The sequence below is a fragment of the Homo sapiens genome, chromosome 1 (assembly GCF_000001405.40).
Source record: "Homo sapiens chromosome 1, GRCh38.p14 Primary Assembly".
Classification (NCBI taxonomy): domain Eukaryota; kingdom Metazoa; phylum Chordata; class Mammalia; order Primates; family Hominidae; genus Homo; species Homo sapiens.
Genome location: NC_000001.11, coordinates 222,289,590 through 222,310,501, shown reverse-complemented (window position 1 = coordinate 222,310,501; position 20,912 = coordinate 222,289,590). Strand labels below are relative to the sequence as shown.

The following is a 20,912-nucleotide window of genomic DNA, read 5'->3' as shown; positions in this document are numbered from 1 at the left end:
CTCTGGACCTTTTTTTTTTTTTTCTTTTTGAGCTGGAGTTTCACTCTTGTTACCCAGGCTAGAGTGCAGTGGCGCGACCTTGGCTGCAACCTCCATCTCCTGGGTTCAGGTGATTCTCCTGCCCCAGCCTCGCAAGTAGCTGGGACTATAGGTGTGTGCCACCATGCCCAGCTAATTTTTGTATTTTTAGTAGAGACAGGGTTTCACCTTGTTGGCCAGGATGGTCTTGATCTCTTGACCTCATGATCCGCCCACCTCGGACTCCCAAAGTGCTGGGATTACAGGCGTGAGCCACCGCACCCAACCTCTGCTCTGGATCTTGTAGTGGCTTTCTGTTATTTAGTATCTAAACATTAAACTACTCTGGATTTCCAGGACTTACAGTGTCTAGCTTTGCTTTCCTGCCCAGCATAATCTCAGTTGCTCTCTGGAGGGCTGGTCCTCTTCAGGGGGCTTGCCTCCTTGCTCGACCTCATGGATTCTAGGCTCCTTTCCAGAGCTTGTTTTGTTCCTTTTTGACCTTTTACCTCTTCTATGAAGTCTCTCCCCTCCAGGCCATGCCAGTTTGTTCATTCATCCATTCATTAAGTCTATTTAGCACCCTTCACATTCCATGCAGTGCCAGGCTGTGGGTACGTATTTGTAACCCCCTTGTCATCAAAGCTACTGCATCTACATTTGTGCAGTTTGTGCTCTCACCAATGTGTCTGGTTGAGGGGACTAGTAAAATCTACCCTAAAAAAGAAAAAAAAATCTTTAGTACATTTATAATTGTATACTCTGCATTACTGAGTATATTCTTGAAGGAAAGAACTTCCATTCTGATCAAAGGTTGCAGAGTACAGATTCCTGTTTAACATTTTACACATTCAATGACTGGAAGAAGGTTTCACAGACGGGTTCTGTTTCTGTGCATTGCAAGCCTTGTTTCTTCTCCACTGTCCACACACCCTTGTTGGATGTGTTCATGTCACCATATGACCTCTTGACGTGCCCCTTCATGACACAATGCCAAATGAATCTTGCCATGGATGATAGAAGTACTCTTGAAAGTCATTCTTACACTTGGATGCCTAACAACTTAATTTTACCCCCAAATGTCTGTGAACTGCATAAATATATCCTCCTAAACCCAGATTATATATATTCCCAACTCAACTTTGTTTTAGCTGGACCCCTTCGATTACCCCCTAATAAGAATGGAAATGTGATGGAGGAAAAGTTGGCTTGGAAAGAGACAGCATTTTAAATCAATTGCAATTAAAATATCTTATTTCTGAAAATTTTTACATATAGTCATGAAAGCCCAGTGTTAGGGCTCTTCCTACATCCTTAGAAAGTGCTCTTGTGACCGGGAGTGCTGGCTCATGCCTGTAATCCCAGCCCTTTGGGAGGCTGAGGCAAGCGGATCACTTGAGGTCAGGAGTTTGAGACCAGCCTGGCCAACATGGTGAAACCCCGTCTCTACTAAAAATACAAAACTTAGCTGGGTGTGGTGGTGGGCGCCTGTAATCCCAGCTACTTGCGAGGCCGAGGCAGGAGAATTGCTTGAACCCAGGAGGCGGAGGCTGCAGTGAGGCAAGATCGCGCCACTGCACTCCAGCCTGGGCAACAGAGCAAGACTCCATCTCAAAAAAAAAAAAAAAAAGAAAGAGAAAGCGCTCATGCAAGTAAGGGGTGACACCCTTTGGCTTCATTAGCATCATGGTAAAGGTGCCACTGAATCCACTGGGGGTTAGGAAAGACTTCAACCCTCCTCAGCCTGCCCTGCCTCTCATGCTCCAAGGCTACCCCTTCCCCATCACTCTGAGAGCCTCTCTCCTTGCAGGCCTCTCATGAGCCCTGTAGCTGCAGTTCTCCTGCTTCCAGACCCTCCTGCTTCTCCCCCTTAGGTTTGGCCAGGTCATCAATTAAGACTGACTACTCCAGGGCAAATCTAGTCATATTTTCTCTCATCCTGGTCTTTGTACCCATTACAGTCTAGGAAGCAATCAAATGGCTTATTTGGCTGGGATTTCTGAAGAGAATTTAATATTGGTGCTTGTTTCAGAGGAGGTACGAGTTAAAGGAACCAGCAAGGGGAGTTGAGGCACACGGGGAGGAATAACAGCAGGAATCTGTTACCTGGAAGAGAGCCTTCAGGCAAGGGCTTCCCGTGAGGCTGTGGTCAGAGAGTGGAATTTCTCAACCTTGGTGACATTTTGGGTCAGGTAATTCTTTGCTGTGGGGACTATCCTATCTGTGCATTGTAGGATCTTTAGCAGCATTCCTGGCTTCTCCCTACAACATGCCAGTAGCACACAGCCATCTAGCCATGATAGCCCAAAATATCTTCACACGTTGCCAACTGTCCCCAGGTAACAGGGCCAATTCACGCCTGGTTGAGAACCATTGTCATAAAGAGATGAAACTGATTTCAGACCTAGAGCAATGGGTGGGGATGGTGAGGAGGAGGAGGAAGGAAATAACCCTGTGTCTCTCTTAGTCTGTCCTCCCAACTGTCTGCTTGGCATTGCTGAACCCAAACAGAAGCTAGAGGACAAGTTTGTGTTCCCTTCAGGATGCTCCTTTCTTTTACTTTGAGACTAAGCCCCAACAGGCAATTATAGTTGCAGCTCCCAAGCTGGCGCACAGAGTCACAGTGGCCACAAGCCATCCATCCACTCACTCATGACTGCTGACGAAGATTGCCTCTAGCAGCACAGAGATTAGTTATTAAAGTTATTGCTAGGGACAGGCCTGTGCCTCTTGTTTTCACCTGTTTTTGCTCCACTCTAGTGCACAGCTTGCTTATTTCCTGTTATTTCTAATTTAACATCTTCATTCAGATCTCCCTGCTCACTTATCAGGAGAAGCACCTTGGCAAAGTCTACAGAAGCTGGAGGAATAATCATTGTACCAATACACTTTCGGACTCCCAGGACTTCTTTCAAGAAAAATCCTATCACGGCCAAAGTTTCCTCTCTCATTTGTCCCTCTGTATTGCTCCCAGAGCCTTCTAGAGGAAGTATTGCCAAACCATCATTCTATTGATGTTATTTTGCACTCATGGTTTTGTGTTTGGATGACACTTTGGCCACTCTGTTGACATCATGCACAGAGCAGGCTATCAGGCAATATTTTGTTGATTGATTGATTGGATAGATCCTTAGCTATCTTGGGACAGGGTTTCTGTATTTTGTTGAGGAGTTTGTTTACAACAGTGCTTATTAAATTTTAATAAGTGCATAAATCACCTGAGACCTTATTAGAATTTAGATTCTGTGTTTAGATATGGGGAGGGGCCCAAGTCTGCATTTCTAATAAGCTCTGGAATGCTGCTGCTAGTGGTCTGCAGACCATATTATGAGTAGCAAGGATCTAGGTGATAGCAAGTTACATGGGCCTTTATTATATGAACAATTCTTTCAATAATACTTTTAACCTGTTGCAAAACTGGGTTTGGCATTGTAAGAGAGACTGATGCATGCTTTTTATCCTAAAGACCCCATGCCACTGTGTGGAAAGATAGAGGCTTTCTGGCTGTTATATTCCTCAAGAGATGCTTCTTTTTTGACTCAGTCTATTTCCCACATCACCAATGTGAGTCAACTTCTGTTGCCTTTGTGCTGCCATCCTCAGCTTTGCTCCACATGCAATAGTTTTTACCTTGATGCACAAGGTAAAAAAAAGGCATTTCTTGTCCTGAGCCTGGATAGAATTTGGCTATTACCTCTCTCTGGTATGGATGAATCATTTTGGTGACAGGGAAGTAAGTTAAGCAAGGCTGCTTTTCCACAAGGGGCCAGGTTTGGGTATGTGTATATGTGTGCTTACCTGTGGGCTGTGAACTCAATTTAGTGTTGCAATAAAGTTCCCTTCTATGAACTATAGAACATTTTAATGCTTCCTGAATGCCACTCCAATGCAGCAGGGAAACATTACAGAGACTCTGTTATTATAGAAGCCGTCCTTGTTTACTTCAGAATTCTCACTCATGCCTTGTTGCTTTTCTCTTCTGGGAGACTCTGTTTTTGGTCAGCCAGTAACACTGATTGAGTGCTTATTGAGGTGACAGACCCCATGGAAGGACTGGAATGGGTCCAAGTCTGAATAAATTATGGATTATTCCTAGATAGTCATCTTACCAATGGGGGCATTTCCAATGAACTGGCTCAAATGCTTCCAAATGACTTAGATCCTGCTCTTGATATATGTAAAGGGTGGTGAAGAGAGGGGGTTAGCATGTAGAATATTGGAACTCTCACTTAAAGTAAAGCTACTCCCCTTGGAAAGAAAACCCCCCTTTTCCCTTTCCCCCTTCAAGCTAAAGGAGATTGTTATCACATCAAGTGATGTCTGTTGGGATAGATGACTATTAAAATGATATGAATGAGATAAAAATCACCCTACAGCAGGAAAGGAAGGAACAAGACTTCATGTTCTGCTAGTTCTATATGTTAATTTAAAACAAAGGACAGAGGGAAAGTTCTAATTAGGCTTATCTGTGTCAGTGCCATTTGGGTTTCAAAGCAGGTAGAGCAGGTTTGAATTCTGGGAAAACAGAGGGCTTGTTGTTCTTGGATTCTGGGTAAGGAGGAGAGACAGAGAGTGGGAGAAGCATTCAAAGATTAAATGATAAAATATGGTTTTTATTTAAAAAAAATACCCATATATGAGAGTTTCAAGTATTTGCCAATTTTCAGATCTTCTTTCCCTGAAATTCAGTGAAATAAACAAATACAACCAAAAATAGAGAATACATTATCTACAACAGTGTTTCTCAACTTCAGTACTGTAGACATTTTGGGTCAGATAATTCTTGGTTGTGGGAACTGTTGTGTGCAATGTAGGATGTTTAGCAGCATCTCTGGCCTCAACTCACCAGATACCAGTAGCGTCTCCCCAACAATTGTGACAACCTGAAACATCTCTAGACATTGCCAGATGTTCCCGGGGGTAGGGGCAGGGGAGCAAAATCTCCTCCTCTTCCAGTTGAGGACCAATGATCTGCACCAAATCCAGAGGGTAACCCCGGACCTAATACTGTAGGTTTTCACCTGGAGTCTTCATCCAGCTCCACTAACTTCTGGTGTCATTTTATTTTATTTTTTTTGAGACAAAGTCTTGCTGTATTGCCCAGGCCGGAGTACAGTGCATGATCATGGCTCACTGCAGCCTTGACTTCCTGGGCTCAAGAGATTCTCCCACTTCAGCTTCCCAAGTAGCCGGGACCAGAAGCATACGCCATCATGCCCAGCTAATTAAAAAAATTGTTTTTTGTAGAGATGGGGTATTGCTATGTTTCCCAGGCTTGTCTTGAACTCCTGGGCTCAAGTGATCCTCCTACCTTGGCCTCCCAAAGTGCTGGGATTACAGGTGTGAGCCACTGCGCCTAGCCCACTCCACTAACATGGACATAAGACCTGTGCAGGGTTCAGTGGTGACACTTGTGACAGGCCCATTGCAGGTCTCCAGTGTGGAAAGTGGTGTCATCAGTCATTGCAGGAGAGACAGGTGTTCCTGCTTAGGCCCCTTCTCCATCGTGGAGCAGCAGGGGCTGAAGGGGGCATGGGGCTTTCTGCCTTCTCTCCAGAGAGACCTGCTCCCCTCAAAGCAGGGAAACAGCTGGAAACTCAGACATGCCTGTGCTGTCTGTGTAAGGACAGACCACAGCTAAGCCAAGATGCAGGGCTTCAGGTTGAGAGGGAAAGTGCAAGGACAACAGGCTCCCTTGGTGCCAGATCATCTCCAGTTTAGCAATATGTACCAAGATTTAAAAATATTGGGCTACCCTTTAACCCAGCAATTCCGCTTTTAGGAGCTTTCCTGAGAGCATATTTAGGTAAGTATGCAAAGATCATGTCTAAGGAGAGTGTTTAAAATGTAAAAAGAACAAAACTGGTTCTACCACTGTTTGGGGATTGGCTAAATTGTAGTAAATACAGATAATGGAATAAAATATACATATTGTATTACATGTTTTTCTATTTATGATTTAAAGAACTTGATGGTAAATGTCTGTATATCTTTATCTGTGTCTATTTCTATATCTTATAATACTGACAAAATAAAATACCCTATTATGAGCCCACTTATTTAAAGTACATGCATATGTGTGCCTGTGTAAGTATGTATTATGCATGTTCTTGTGGTCTGCATATGTGTGTGTGTGCATATATGGGTGGGTAACTTTACATGGCAAAATGTCTGGAAGGATGTTCCTCCAAAACTGAGTGTGGTTATCACTATTTAATTTTCTTCTTTAGGCTTTACATTTAAGTGGCTCCATAGTGACTGTGCCTCATTTTTAAAATAAGAAAAAGAGCTATTTGTATTTTAGAAAATCAAACAAAAACTGTGTCACATTTCTTGTTCAATCCTAGTTGAAATAATAGATTTCTCTCTAAGTTAAAAGTCACGGGGATGATCCTTATTTGCATTTATTTTTGGTCTCTGAGCCTATTGGAGCTCATTGTGATATTGCAGTTGCCACCTTTTCTCCATACTTCTCCAAGGAAGCTATGGCTTACCTTGAGATAGCTCCTGCTCCTTCACTTCCTAAATTCTGGATTTAAAAAGCCACTTAAACCAAGGAAATGAGTTCTGATATTATGGGGACATTGCCTGCTGTTTAGGATGTTTATCCAGATATCTCAGACTTCTAATTTTAGGATGTCTCCTGCAAACCGATTATCCTAATACTATATTTACCAAGCTACACAGAGCTTAAAGAGATTTTTCCATTTGGGGCGTCTCTGCCCTTCATCACCGATGACCTTCCTATTTCAACAGGACCCTGTTACAGGTGATCACCACTTGCAAATTTAGCAAAAGCCAAAGTCAAAGAGTTGTGGGTTTGTCACTGTCAATGGTTTCTACTTAGAGAGGGGGAAACTGGTTCCGCCTCTGCTGGAGTGCAGTGGCACAATCTCGGTTCACTGCAACCTCTGCCTCCCAGGTTCAAGTGATTCTCCTGCCTCAGCCTCCTGAGTAGCTGGGATTACAGGCATGTGCCACCATGCCCAGCTAATTTTTATATTTTTAATAGAGTCGGGATTTCACCATGTTGGCCACGATGTTCTCAATCTCTTGACCTCGTGATCTGCCCTCCTTGGCCTCCCAAAGTGCTGAGATTACAGGAGGGAGCCACTGTGAAATTTTATTATATTTTTAGAGACAGGATTTTACTGTTTCCCAGGCTGCAGTGCAGTGGCACAGTCATAGCTCACTGTAACCTCAAACTGCTGGGCTCATGAGATACTCCCACCTCAGCTTCCCAAATATCAAGGACTACAGGCATATGCCACCATGCCTAGCTAATTTAAAAATATATATATTTTTTTGTAGTGTTGGAGGTCTTACTGTGTTGCCCAGGCTGGTCTTGAACTCCTGGCCACAGCAATTCTCCTTCCTCAGCCTCCTGAGTTACCAGGATTACAGACATGAGCCACCACAGCCAGATCTGGACCACACAATTTTGCTGCCACACCCTTTCCTCCTCTGGATAAGAATGTTCTGATTTCAATAAGACAAGTGGAGGGGTTGTGTCACAGGAACCATAGGGGTGAAGTGCGGGTCAGCCAGTGGCTCTGGTCTCATAGGAGCAATTCTGAGGGTACCTGCAGGTGAGCATTGTATACTTGATGATTTCACATGGTCGCCAGCTTCTCTTTGGTTCCAAAGTTATTGTTGTGCCCACTGGACTGATCAGTTTTTATTCTTTTCTAACATATTGTATATTTAACAGTTTCTACTCAACATAGTAATTTTCAGAAAGTTTTCCTTTTAGGTATTTCATTTGGATTTCTTATAGCAGAAGCTTTCTCTTTTAAGTTTTCCACTCCGAGATTAACTTTGAGGACTATAATGAATGAATCTAACCTGAAGCCTCCTATTATTTAACAAAAAAGTCTGTAGAGATAAATTGGCTACATTTTGAACAAGTATGCAAGCAATAAGTGAACACTCCAATTGGGGAGTTAGTTTTCTATTTTATTGTTGCCTGAACGTGCATATTACCTATTCTGGCTTTGGCATATGGGGCTTTGACTCTTTGGAGCAATGTTAGACATTGCCTTGGTTGAAAGGAAAAATGTCCTCACCTGTATTGGATAAAATGCCTCCACCTGTATAGGATAGAAGATAAAAGCACTTTTGAAGAAGTTTGAAACATCCTGGGAATTTTTCACATTGCTCTCTGTCCTATGCGTTTCATTATAGAATTTGCAAATGAAAATCATTTGTACTATAACAGATCTAAACTCCTGATGTTCAGTATGCAGGAGAATCTAACTCGTGAGGTAACAACAAACAGCAGGATCATCTGGACTTGTCTCTCCCTGGCCTCATTGCCCATCATCACCCCCTTTGCTCATGACACTGCATTCTCCCTGGTTTTCATCTTCTAGGTTGTAATTTAAATGCCCCTTCCTCAGTTAAGCAACCTCTCAATCTCTGGAAGACAGCAAGGATAGAAAGTCCTGTAGTTATATGATCTCATAGGACTCTGGTAATCCTCTCTTGTATCTTTTATCAGAATAATAATTATATGGTTATCTACATAATTAGTTGTTTAATATATGTCTTTTCCCTAGACTGTATACTCAAGGACCAACGCTGCCCATATTTGTACTCCTAAAGAAGAGAGTATGTATGACTCAGTGCAAATCCATCCCTAACACTAAGTGGGGTGGGGAGAGGATTGGAGAGGGAGAGAGAAAAAAGTTATATATTTCTCTGACGATGAGTAAGGTGGGTCACCAGTTGTCACATGAATTAGGAGAATCTTTCAGGTAACAAGACAGTTCCAAATAGCCCTGAATAGAAATCTGTCTGCTCTGATTGCTTTAGCCTTACCTGATATGACCTGGGACATCTGAATGACAATGCTGTCAAGAGGGTGACAATGAGAATATGAAGCTGACAGCAGTAATAGCAAGGGGTCTCTCTGAGTCAAAGCTAAAAAGGAAGAGATTGACCTTGTATAGTGGCTGTATTCATTTCATCTTGGAGTGACTTTGATGCCTATTTCAATGACATACAGAATGGAAATAACTTCAGTAGAAGCTGGACTTTTACTCACTCTAATATCTTTTTTCCCCATTTTTTTTATTGTGGTAAAATACACACAACATGAAATTTACCATCTTAACCATTTTTAAGTGTTTCGTTCAGATGTATCAAATACTTTCATAATGTTGCACAACTATCACTACCATCCAACTCCAGAACTTTTTCATCTTGCAAAACTGAAATTCTGTACTCATTAAACAACTTCCCATTTACTCTTCCTTCTGCCCATGCAATCACCATTCTACTTTCTGTCTCTATGATTTTGATAACTCTAAGTACCTTATATAAGTGGAGGGCTGGGTGTAGTGGCTCACACCTGTAATCCCAGCACTTTGGGAGGCTGAGGTGGGCGGATCATGAGGTCGGGAGTTCAAGACCAGCCTGGCCAACATGGTGAAACCCCATCTCTACTAGAAATACAAAAATTAGCTGGGCGTGGTGGCAGTCACCTGTAATCCCAGCTACTTGGGAGGCTGAGGCAAGAGAATTGTTTGAACCCTGGAGTCAGAAGTTGCAGTGAGCTGAGATCATGCCATTGCACTCCAGCCTGGGCGACAGGGTGAGACTCTGTCTCAAAAAAAAAATAATAATAAGTGGAATCATACAGTATTTGTCTTTTTGTGACTGGCTTATTTCACTTAGCATGATATCCTCAAAGTTTATCTGTATTGTAGAATATGTCAGAATTTTCTTCCTTTTTCAGGATGAATAATATTCCATTGCATGTATATGTACGCCATAGTTTGCTTAATCTGCTCATCATCAATGGTCACTTGAGTGGCCTTTTATCTTTTGGCGATTGTGAATAATACTGTTACAAATACAGATGTACAAATATCTTTTTAAGACCCAGCTTTCGATTCTTTTGGGTATATACCCAGAAGTGGAATTGCTGAATCATATGATTCAGCAATGAATTCTATTTTAAGTTTTTTGAAGAACCACCATACTGTTTTCTATAGTGGTTTGATGTGGTTTGGGTCTGTGTCCCCACCCAAATCTCATCTTGAATTGTAATTTCCATATGTTGAGGGAGGGACCTGGTGGGAGGTAACTGGATCATGGGGGCAGTTTCCCCCATGCTGTTCTCTTGATAGTGAGGGAATTCTTATGAGAGCCGATAGTTTTAAAAGTGTTTGGCAGTTCCCCCTTCACTCTCTGTCTCTCCTGCTGCCTTTTAAAGAAGGTGCCTGCTTCCCTTTAGCCTTCTACCATGATTGTAAGTTTCCTGAGATCTCCTCCCACCAGATGGAACTGTGAATCAATTAAACCTTTTTCCTTTATAAAGTACCCAGTCTCAGGTAGTATCTTTATAGCAGTGTGGGAGCAGACTAATACATGGATGTACCATTTTACATTTCCACCACCAGTGCACAGGGGTTCCAATTACTCCACATCCTCACATGTAATTTTCTATATTCTTTTGATAGTAGCTATCCTAATTGGTGTGATGTGGTGTCTCATTGTAGTTTTGATTTGAATTTCCCTAATGATTAGTGATGTTGAGTGTACTAGTTCATTCTCACACTGCTATAAAGGACTACCTGAGACTGTAGTAATTTATAAACAAAAGAGGTTTAATTGACTCACAGTTCCACAGGCTGTACAGAAGGCATGGCTGAGAAAGACTCAGGAAATTTACAATCATGGCAAAATGGTAAAGGGAAAGCACACACATCTTCATGTGGCAGCAGGAGAGAGAGAGAGAGAGAGTGAAAGAGGAAGTGCTACACACTTTCTAACAACCAGATCTTGTGAGAACTCGTTCACTGTCATGAGTACAGCAAGGGTGAAGTCCACCCCCATGATCCAACCACCCCCCACCAGGTTCCTCCCCCAATATTGGAGGTTACAATTCAACATGAGATTTGGGTGGGGACACAGAACCAAACCATATCATTGAGCATCTTTTCTTTGCTTATTGGCCATTTATATATCTTCTTTGAAGAAATGTCTATTTAAGTACTTTGTCCATTTTTATTTTTTTGTGTATTTAGGCATTCTCTACATATCCTGGACACTTATATCCAGATACATGGTTTGCAAATATTTTCTCCCATTCTGTGGGTTGCCTTTTCACTGCTGATAGTATCTTTTGATACACAGAATTTTGTAATTTTCTTATTTTTGAGTGTGAAACAATAATCATTTATTATTGTTATCTCTTATGATTTTGGTGATTGGGTTCAGCTAGGTGGTTCCCACTCAGAGGATCTCACCGGGCTGCCATGAGACAGGGATAATGCTGGAATCATCTTGAGGGCTTCTTCATTCACATGTTTGGCACTGGGACCAGGAAACTTCAAAGTGCTGGGGGTTGAAACAGCTAGGGCTCCTCTGACTCTCTATTTACCTTCATGTGGTCTCTGCAGCATGTTGGTTTCAGAGCAACTATACATATGCTCCAAAGACATATGTTCTGATTGAGAAAACTAGATGAAGCTGTATCAACTTTTAAAAAATATTTTCACTGGCATACAATTGTTCATATTTATGGGGTACAATGTGATGTTTTGATACATGTATATATGATATAATGATCAAATCATGATAATTAACATACCTATCATCTTAAACTTTGTTTTGCTGTGAGAATGTTCAAAATCTTCTTTTCTAATTACTCTATTCATGAGCCCTTATGACCTAATCACTTCTTAAAGGTCCCACTTCTTTTTTTTTTCCTTCAACTTTTATTTTAAGTTTCAGGGTACATGTGCAGGATGTGCAGGTTTGTTGCATAGGTAAGTGTGTGCAGTGGTGGTTTTCTGCACAGATGAACCCATTAGCTAGGTATTAAGCTCAGCATTCATTAGCTATGCTTCCTGGTGCTTTCCCTCCCTGACCCTCCCTGACAGGTCCGAGTGTATGTTGTTCCCCTCAATATGTCCATGTGTTCTCATCGTTCAGCTGTCCTTTATATGAGAGAACATGCGGTGTTTGATTTTCTGTTCCTGCATTTGCTTGCTGAGGATAACAGCTTCCAGCTCCATCCATGTCCCTGCAAAGGACATGATCTCATTCCTTTTTATGGCTGCATAGTACTCAATGGCATATATGTACCACATTTAATTTATACAGTCTATCATTGATGGGCATTTGGGTTGATGCCATGTCTTTGCTGTTGTGAATAGTGCTGCAATGCGCATACATGTGCATGTATCTTTTTTTGTTTTCTTTTGAGGTGGAGTCTCACCCTTGTCACCCAGGCTGGAGTACAATGGTGTGATCTTGGCTCACTGCAACCTCCGCCTCCTGGGTTCAAACTATTCTCCTGCCTCAGCCTCCTGAGTAGCTGGGATTACAGGTGCCCAGCTACCACGCCTGGCTAATTTTTGTACTTTTAGTACAGATAGGGTTTCGCCATGTTGGCCAGGATGGTCTCGAACTCCTGATCTCAGGTGATCCACCTGCCTTGGCCTCCCAAAGTGCTGGGATTACAGGCATGAGCCACCATCCCTGGCCACATGTATCTTTATAATAGAATGATTTCTATTCCTTTGGGTATATAACCAGTAATGGGATTGCTGGGTCAAATGGTATTTCTGCCTCTATATTTTTGAGGAATTGCCAGACTGTCTTCCACAATGGTTGAACTAATTTACATTCCCATCAACAGTGTAAAAGCATTCCTTTTTCTCCTCAACCTCACCAGCATCTGTTATTTCTTGACTTTTTAATAATCACCATTCTGACTGGCATGAGATGGCATCTCATTGTGGTTTTGATTTGCATTTCTCTAATGATCAGTGATGTTGAGCTTATTTTCGTATGTTTGTTGGCTGCATGGGTGTCTTCTTTTGAGAAGTGTCTGTTCATGTCTTTTGCCCACTTTTTAATGGAGTTGCTTGTTTTTTTTCTTGTAAATTTTTTAAGTTCCTCGCAGACTCTGGATATTACACCTTTGTCAGATGGATAGATTGCAAAATTTTTCTCCCATCCTGTAGGTTGGTTGTCTATTCACTCTGATGATAGTTTCTTTTGCGGTGCAGAAGTTCTTTAGTTTAATTAGATCACATTTGTCAATTTTTGCTTTTGTGGCAATTGCTTTCAGCATTTTTTATCATAAAGTCTTTTCTCCATGCTTGTGTCCTCAATGGTATTGCTTAGGTTTTCTTCTAGGGTTTTTATAGTTTTGGGTTTTTACATGTAAGTCTCTAATCCATCTTGAGTTAATTTTTGCATAAGGTCCAAGGAAGGGGTCCACTTTCAACTTTCTGCATATGGCTAACCAGTTCTCCCAGCCCCATTTATTAAATAGGGAGTCCTTTCCCCATTGCTTGCTTTTGTCAGGTTTGTCAAAGATGAGATGGTTGTAGATGTGCAGTCTTATTTATGAGTTCTCTATTCTGTGCCATTGGTCTATATGTCGGTTTTTATACCAGTACCATGCTGTTTGGGTTACTGTAGACTTGTAGTATAGTTTGAAGTCAGGTAGTGTGATGCCTCTAGCTTTGGTCTTTTTGCTTAGCATTGTCTTGGCTATTCAGGCTCTTTTTTGGTTCCATATTAATTTTAAAATAGTTTTTTTGTAATTCTGTGAAGAATGTCAATGGCAGTTTAATGGGGATAGCATTGAATGTATAAATTACTTTAAGCAGTGTGGCCATTTTCATGATATTGATTCTTCCTATCCATGAGCATGGAGTGTTTTTCTGTTTGTTTGTGTTCTCTCTGATTTCCTTGAATAGTGGTTCATAATTCTTGAAGAGGTCCTTCACTTCCCTTGCTGGGTCTAGTCCTAGGTATTTTATTCTTTTTGTAGCAATTGAAGGCCCCACATCTTAATACCATCACAATGCCAATTAAATTTAAACATGAGTTTTTGGAGAGGACATTCAAACATAGCAGTTACTATTTGCAAGGAATATTGTAATCCATCCTTTCACTTTTAATTTATTTGTGTCTTTGGATCTCAGTTAAGTCTTGTAGACAGTATATAGGTGGATAATGGTTATTTTTTCATTCTGCCATTCTCTGTCCTTTCATGGAGACTTTAATTCATTTAAATTTAAAGTAGTTCATAATAAGGAGGAACTTATGCTATCTTGCTATTTGCTTCCCATATGCCTTATAGCTTTTTTCGCCCCTCATTTTTCACATTTCTGTTTTCTTTTGTGTGTAGTTGATTTTTAATAGTGAGTTTATTTTTTATTTTTCGAGACAGAGTCATGCTTTGTTACCTAGGCTGGGGTGTGGTGGTGTGATGATAGCTCACTGCAGCCTTGAACTCCTAAGCTCAACTGATCCTTCCACCTCAGCCTCCCAAGTAGCTAGGACTACAGGTGCATGCCACCACACCTGGCTAATTAAATACATATATATGTAGTGACAGGGCCTTGCTGTATTGCCCAGGCTTGTCTTGAACTCTTGGACTCAAATGATCCTTCCACCTTGGCCCTCCAAACTAATGGTATGTTATTGGCATGTGCCACTGCACCTGTCCTAGTGAGACATTTAAATTAATTTCTTATTTTCTTTTTTTTGGGGGTATATTATATAGTTGTTTTATTTGTGGTTATTATGGGTATTACATTTCACATCCTAAAGTTATAACATTTTAATTTGAATTTATACAGCTTAATTTCATTAATAAGCAAAAGCTCTGCTACTTTACAGCTTTATCTTCAAGCGTTTTGATTGTTGATGTCATAAAATTACATTTCATACATTATAGCATAAAAATAGAAAATATAAGCTAATAATTTTTTGAAGTATATTCATCTCTAACATTATGTAAAAAACAAAATATAGACTTACAAACCAATGTTACAGTAATACTAGCTTTTAGACTTACAATTGTTTGAAAAATGTGTTGGTCTCTTAAGTCATATAGAGAACAAAAAGTGGGGTTACAAACTATTGTTAAAATGATACTAGCTTTTACAATTGCCCATATATTTATTGTTATTGATTAAAGGTATCTTACATGGCTTTCAGTTATTGTCTAGTGCTCTTTCATTTCCTCCTGAAGAGTTCCCTTGAGCATTTCTTGCAGGATAGGTCTAATAATAATGAACTCCCTTAGCTCAAGTTTGTCTGTGAATATTTTTATTGCTCCCTGACTTTTGAAGGACAGATTATTGGATACAGAATTCTTGGTTGATAGTTTTTTCTTATAGCACTTTGAATATATTGGTCCAATGCCTTCTGGTGAGCAAATTTTTTGATGAGAAATCTGATAATCTTATTGAAGATCACTTATATATGATTAGTTGCTTCTCTCTTGTGGCTTTTAAGATTCCTTCTTTATCTTTCTGAAGTTTAATTATAATGTGTCTCAGTGTGAGTTTCTTTGAGTTCATCTTAGTTGGAGTTTATTGAGCTTCTTGAATGTTTATATTCATTGCCTTCCATCAAATCTTGGAAGTTTTCAGTCATTATCTCTTCAAATATTCTGTCTGCCATATTCTGTCTCTATTATGCTACTGGAATTCCCATACTGCATATGTTGGTCTGCTTGATGGTGTCCCACAGGTCTCTTAGGCTCTCTGTTTATTGTTCAATCTTCATTGTCTCTGTTCTTTAGAAACATTTATTTTCAGTATTCTATCTTCAGTTCACAGATTCTTTCTTTTCTCCAGCTCATCTCTGCTTTTGAATACTTCCGGTAAATTTTTAATTTTAGTTATTCTATTGTTCAGCTCCAGAATTTCCTTTTGGTTTCCTTGTTAGGTTTTCCATTTCTTTATGGATATTTTCACTTTGTTCAGACATCATTTTCTTGCCTTTTTTTTTTTTTTACATCTTTCTTTGGTTCTTTGAGAATTTTAGGATAGTTTTAGAGTCTGTCTAGCAGATCTGCCATCAGGGAAAGGGCACTGTTCCTAAATCCCCTATAGGTTACTTCAGCCAATGGTGTAGGAGGTTGCAAACAATGGGGAGAGATGTGATAACAATGGTTACTTACCCCTTTGTCTGCACCTATGTTATCAGAAGCAGCAATCAGTGATATTTGTAGGGAAAGTGCTTTTTGCCCACCTGGCTCCCGTAAGCTGTGTGCAAGCTCCTCCTGGAAGGTGTGCACAGCTGTCTGCCATTGGGCTGGGAGTGGAGGATAGGTAGCTGCTGCTGTGCAAAGAGTGGAAATTGTCTAAAATTAACTGTAATTTACTATCTAAACCTTCTGCTGGAAGTTAAAAGCCTTCAGTAGACTCCAGAGTTCCATATAGTTATCAGACAGATTCTGTTAGTGCAATTATTGTCTAGGTGGAGATGATAGATTCCTGGTGCTTTCTACTCCACTATCTTCCTAGAATCCTCTTGAAATATCTTTTTAAGAGATAAAGGCCCTGCTGAGATCTGGTTGTCCAGATCTTGCTAACCATTAACTGAAGCAGATAAACACACTATAGGGTTTTTTTCCCCCACTTTTTTTTAGGTTTCCTAAGAATAGATGGTGGTTTACAGCTATGAATAGAAGGAAAGTATTTAGGCTGGCCACAGTGGCTCATACCTGTAATCCCAGCACTTTGGGAGGCTGAGGTGGGCAGATCACTTGAACTCAGGAGTTCAAGACCAGCCTGGGCAACATGGCGAAACCCTGTCTCTACAAAAAATAGATAAATTAGCCAGATGTTGTGGTGCACGCCTTTAGTCCCAGCTACTTGAGGGGCTGAGATGGGAGGATAGTTTGAGTCCGGGGGTTGAGGCTGCAGTGGGCCATGATCATGCCACTGCACTCCAGCCTGGGCAACAGAGTGAGATTCTCTCTTCTTTGGAGCCAAGGGTGCAAATGGAAAATTCTTTCAAAATTTCTCAGAGTGCTTTCTACACCTTTTTACATTTTGCTATATTTTGTGCTCTTTGTCAGTCTACATAAATTTGAAAATGTCTGGCCAAAATATATCTTATATATCTGGTTTTATTAGCTTTGATTAGTAGTATATTTAATAGTATATTTACTATATTTTTCTAAAATAATTCATTAGAACATAATCCCAGGAAAAACCAGTAGAGAAGTGGAAATGTGGCACTGGAAAGGAAGGAGATTGAGTGGGGGTATGGAATTAAACGAAGTCCCTTAAAGGGAATTTTATATCACTTCTGCAGCGAACTCTGGGGACAATGTAGGTCACACCTCAGATTTTTTCTAATAATGAAGTAAAGGAGGTGGAGTATTTATACCTCACATCTATCAGTCATTGGTTAAGTGCTGCCCCTGGGGCCATGTCAGTTCTCAGGTACTTCTGGCTGTGCTATGTGTGTGCAGGCAACATGACTTCTAGAAACCTAAGTGAAGTCTTCCAATGAAGATACATAGGTGCTTACTGCTGGGAATGAAAGCAAACTGAGAGCCGATGTGCACAAAAGTGGCTAAGGGATCTAAGGGAACACAGATGGAAGACTAACTACACTCCACCCCTTATACCATTCAGGGCCACTTCCATCTCATGTAAGTTTATTTGATTGATCCTGTGGTTTTGTGGCTAGTTACAAATTCTAAGTAAATAAAAGGACTTACAAGAGGATGGTTAATGGAATAAGCTACAGCTCCCACTGTTTAACTGAGACCATACCTATCAACTCCTTTCTCCACCAGTCATCCTAAACTCCTTTCCTGCATGGGCAGGATTTCTACTAATCTAGATTGCTTTCCAGTTGAAACGACACAGATATTCTTTCCAGAGCGTTCTGAGGGTTAGGTAATCATGTCCCTCCCATGAATGTTCCTCCCATGAATCTTGTTCTTTCTCACTCATAGTTAAAACTGGGCATGGCATCACCAAGAGAAGGTGCTTCAGGGAAGAAAGCACTGCTTCTCTTTAGTGAATTCTCAGACTTTCTGACTTACTTTTCATTGCCCCTCTTAGCTAGCAGCAACTCTACCTTCTCATGATGGTCTAGGTCAATACTTCCTGCCAGAATGAAACTCCTTTCTGTGTCTGCTGATCTACTGTATTGAGGAGCCCAAAATGATTAGCTTTAGGTTCAGTGGATCCTTACTGTGTCCCTTAGTGAAAGCATTTCCTTCCCACTCCCACCCCTGGGAACCAGTACCCCTAGATCTGCCAAATATAACATTGTAGGACTAGGAAACACAAAGTTCCTAATGGATCACTGGGTATGAAGATAAAAGAGGCCACATCTGCTTTCATCTTTTGATTCCTGGACCCAGATATTCTAACTATTAAGACATAGCAACATATTATTATTGGTTCAAGGTATATACCACATCTTGATAGCACCTCATTTTTGTGGAATTTCATCTTTTATCTTTTTATCTGGCAGCTTAGCTACATTTTCTTTCTTTTTTTTTTTTTTTGAGACAGAGTCTTGCTCTGTCACTCAGGCTGGATTGCAATGGTGCAATCTCGGCTTACTGCAGCCTCCGCCTTCCGGGCTCAAACGATTCTCCTGTGTCAGCCTCCTGAGTAGATGGGATTACAGGCACGTGCCACCACGCCAAGCTAATTTTTTTGTATTTTTAGTAGAGACGGGGTTTAACCATGTTGCCCAGGCTGGTCTTGAACTCCTGGATCAGGTGATCCACCCGCCTCAGCCTCTCAAAGTGCTGGGATTACAGGCACGAGCCACTGTGCCCGGCCTACATTTTCAATGGATAGTCTATGTTGTATATAGCTGGTAACTCCTGGATGTGGTATAACATAGGAATCCTGTGATCATGTGCCCAGCGTTGAACCTCACTGGCTGGAAATGGGTTTCTTGGTCTAAGACATTATTATATGTAATCCTATATTGGCTAATCAGTATAAGCACTTGGATAGTGATACTAACTGAGGTACTATAGGCAGGAAAGACCAACCTATACCTGGAATACATATCAATCCTCTTGAGGATGCATCTCTGCCTTTTCTAAGGTGAAAGGAGCTCAGTGTGATCTACCTGCAAAAAAAGTGGCTGGTTGGCATCCTTGAGAGATGGCACCATATCTAGATCCCAGCATCAGTGTCTGTGGTTGATAGGTCAGACATTCATAAGTGGCAATATTGAAATTAGTCTTTGTAAGAGAAATCTCTTACTATTAAACCCATCTCTGCCACCACGGCTATTACATTTATGTTCTTACCATGCAAGCATGTGATGGCTGAGGACAGAGTCTTGATGATAATTGCTAGATGAGATGTTTTGCCTGTTTGGTTGTTTAATTCCTTTACATCAGATTCTTTCTGATGGGCGTTAATGTGTAGCATGCAGATCCTGACATTTGGTATCTGTATTCGTTCGTTCTCACACTGCTTTGAAGAAATACCTGAGATTGTGTAATTTATAAAGGAAAGAGTTTTAACTGACTCACAGTTCCACATTGCTGGAGAGGCCTCAGGAAATTTACAATCATGGTGGAAGGCAAAGGAGAAGCAGGCACCTTCTTCATAGGGTGGCAGGACAGAGTGAGTGCAAGCAGGGAAATGCCGGATGCTTATAAAATCATCAGATCTCAAGAGACTGACTCACTATCATGAGAACAGCATGGGGGAAACTACCCCCATGATCCAATTACCTCCACTTGGTCCTGCCCTTGACATGTGGGTTTGCAATTGAAGATGAGATTTTTTTTTTCAACATCTTTCTTTGGTTCTTTGAGAATTTTAAGACAGTTTTAGAGTCTGTCTAGTAGATTACAATTCAAGATGAAATTTTGGGTGGGGACACAGCCAAACCATACCACTGTCCATTCTTATAGGCCCTTCTGTGTGCTTTTTCTTCATACCTTCTTGTCCCTGAATTTTTATCTTTACTCCTTATATGTCCCTGACCAACGAGCCAGGCCATTTTCCACAAAACAGATGTCTATATATACCCTTACTATGAGCCACTTTTCTCTCCATATAAAGTGGATAATAAGGCACATTACTGAAAGCTCTGCCCATTGTGAAGAATAAGGTCACTCCTGGGGTTATAGTGGGGCAGCAGTCTATTTTTGGCTCACACCAATATTGAGTTAATTTATTCAAGAACTAGGCATTTTTTTTCTCCTCTATTAGCTGGTTGTATGGAACTCACTCCTTTCCATTCTACTCCATGAGACCATGGACAGTGTCAGTGCAGCAGAGATGAGTCAAATGGGATTCTTGGGCATCTGTTTAGGGACCTTCTCAAGCCTGATGGTCTCCTCCTGTGCCTACCTGATTCTATGATTTTGTATGTCTTGTAGCGCCGAACTCATGAGGGACAGCTCTAGTGATATGTTCATTTGATACTTCATAGTTAGACACTTCATCTCTGCCATAGTATGCTAGTAGTTGTTTTTCAAATGGTGTATAATTCCCTGTTGCAGAAAGCATGCAAATGGAAATTTGTTTCCTTTGACTGGTCAAAAACTCTGCATGATGGTTTTCTCCACTGTGTATTCTATCACTGTTATGTCTGCTGGTTCATGTGCAGGCAGGTCCCCTTGCCTCACAGTCTAAACTTGTAGAATTCTCTTTTTCTTTGGACATTCTACTTGAAACTGGCAGTGTGTTATGGCCCCAATAAATTGATCACAGCAGTAGTTTTTCCAAGTGCAGAATATGTTGCTTCTAAAATCAGAATAGGCTTCCCAGTTTCTGGGTGGAAGGAGGTGTAAGGCACAATAGCTTGTTCTTTACCATGGAGGGGATGGATGTTCCATTATGTCCAGACTACTGTCTTCCTCAAAACTTCACGAATGCAGCAAGTTCTTGACTATTTTTAGGGTTATATTTCTCCCTGGCATATTTCTTGCCAGGGCATCTATGGTTCTTGTCACTTTTTGATTATCAGGTCTAATTAACTTACGTCATTATTTTAACAGACTAACCTGATGTTTTGTGGACTATCCAAATGATCCACACCTCTTCATACTATATTGAAACAGAGGGCAGGGGGGTTAACATAGTCCCAGAGCAAGACTATGAATGTAATGTTATCTGTCTTAT

At 40.9% G+C, this 20,912-nt stretch overlaps 1 annotated feature.

Moving 5' to 3' along the window:
• Window positions 6,840-7,009: an enhancer, noted in NCBI's record as "experimental_5116 CRE fragment used in MPRA reporter constructs". NCBI's record gives its function as "activates a minimal promoter by MPRAs in K562 erythroleukemia cells, with activity observed for both the introgressed and non-introgressed 1:222476920 variant alleles {active_cell/tissue: K562}" and the evidence as "EXISTENCE:reporter gene assay evidence [ECO:0000049][PMID:34662402]".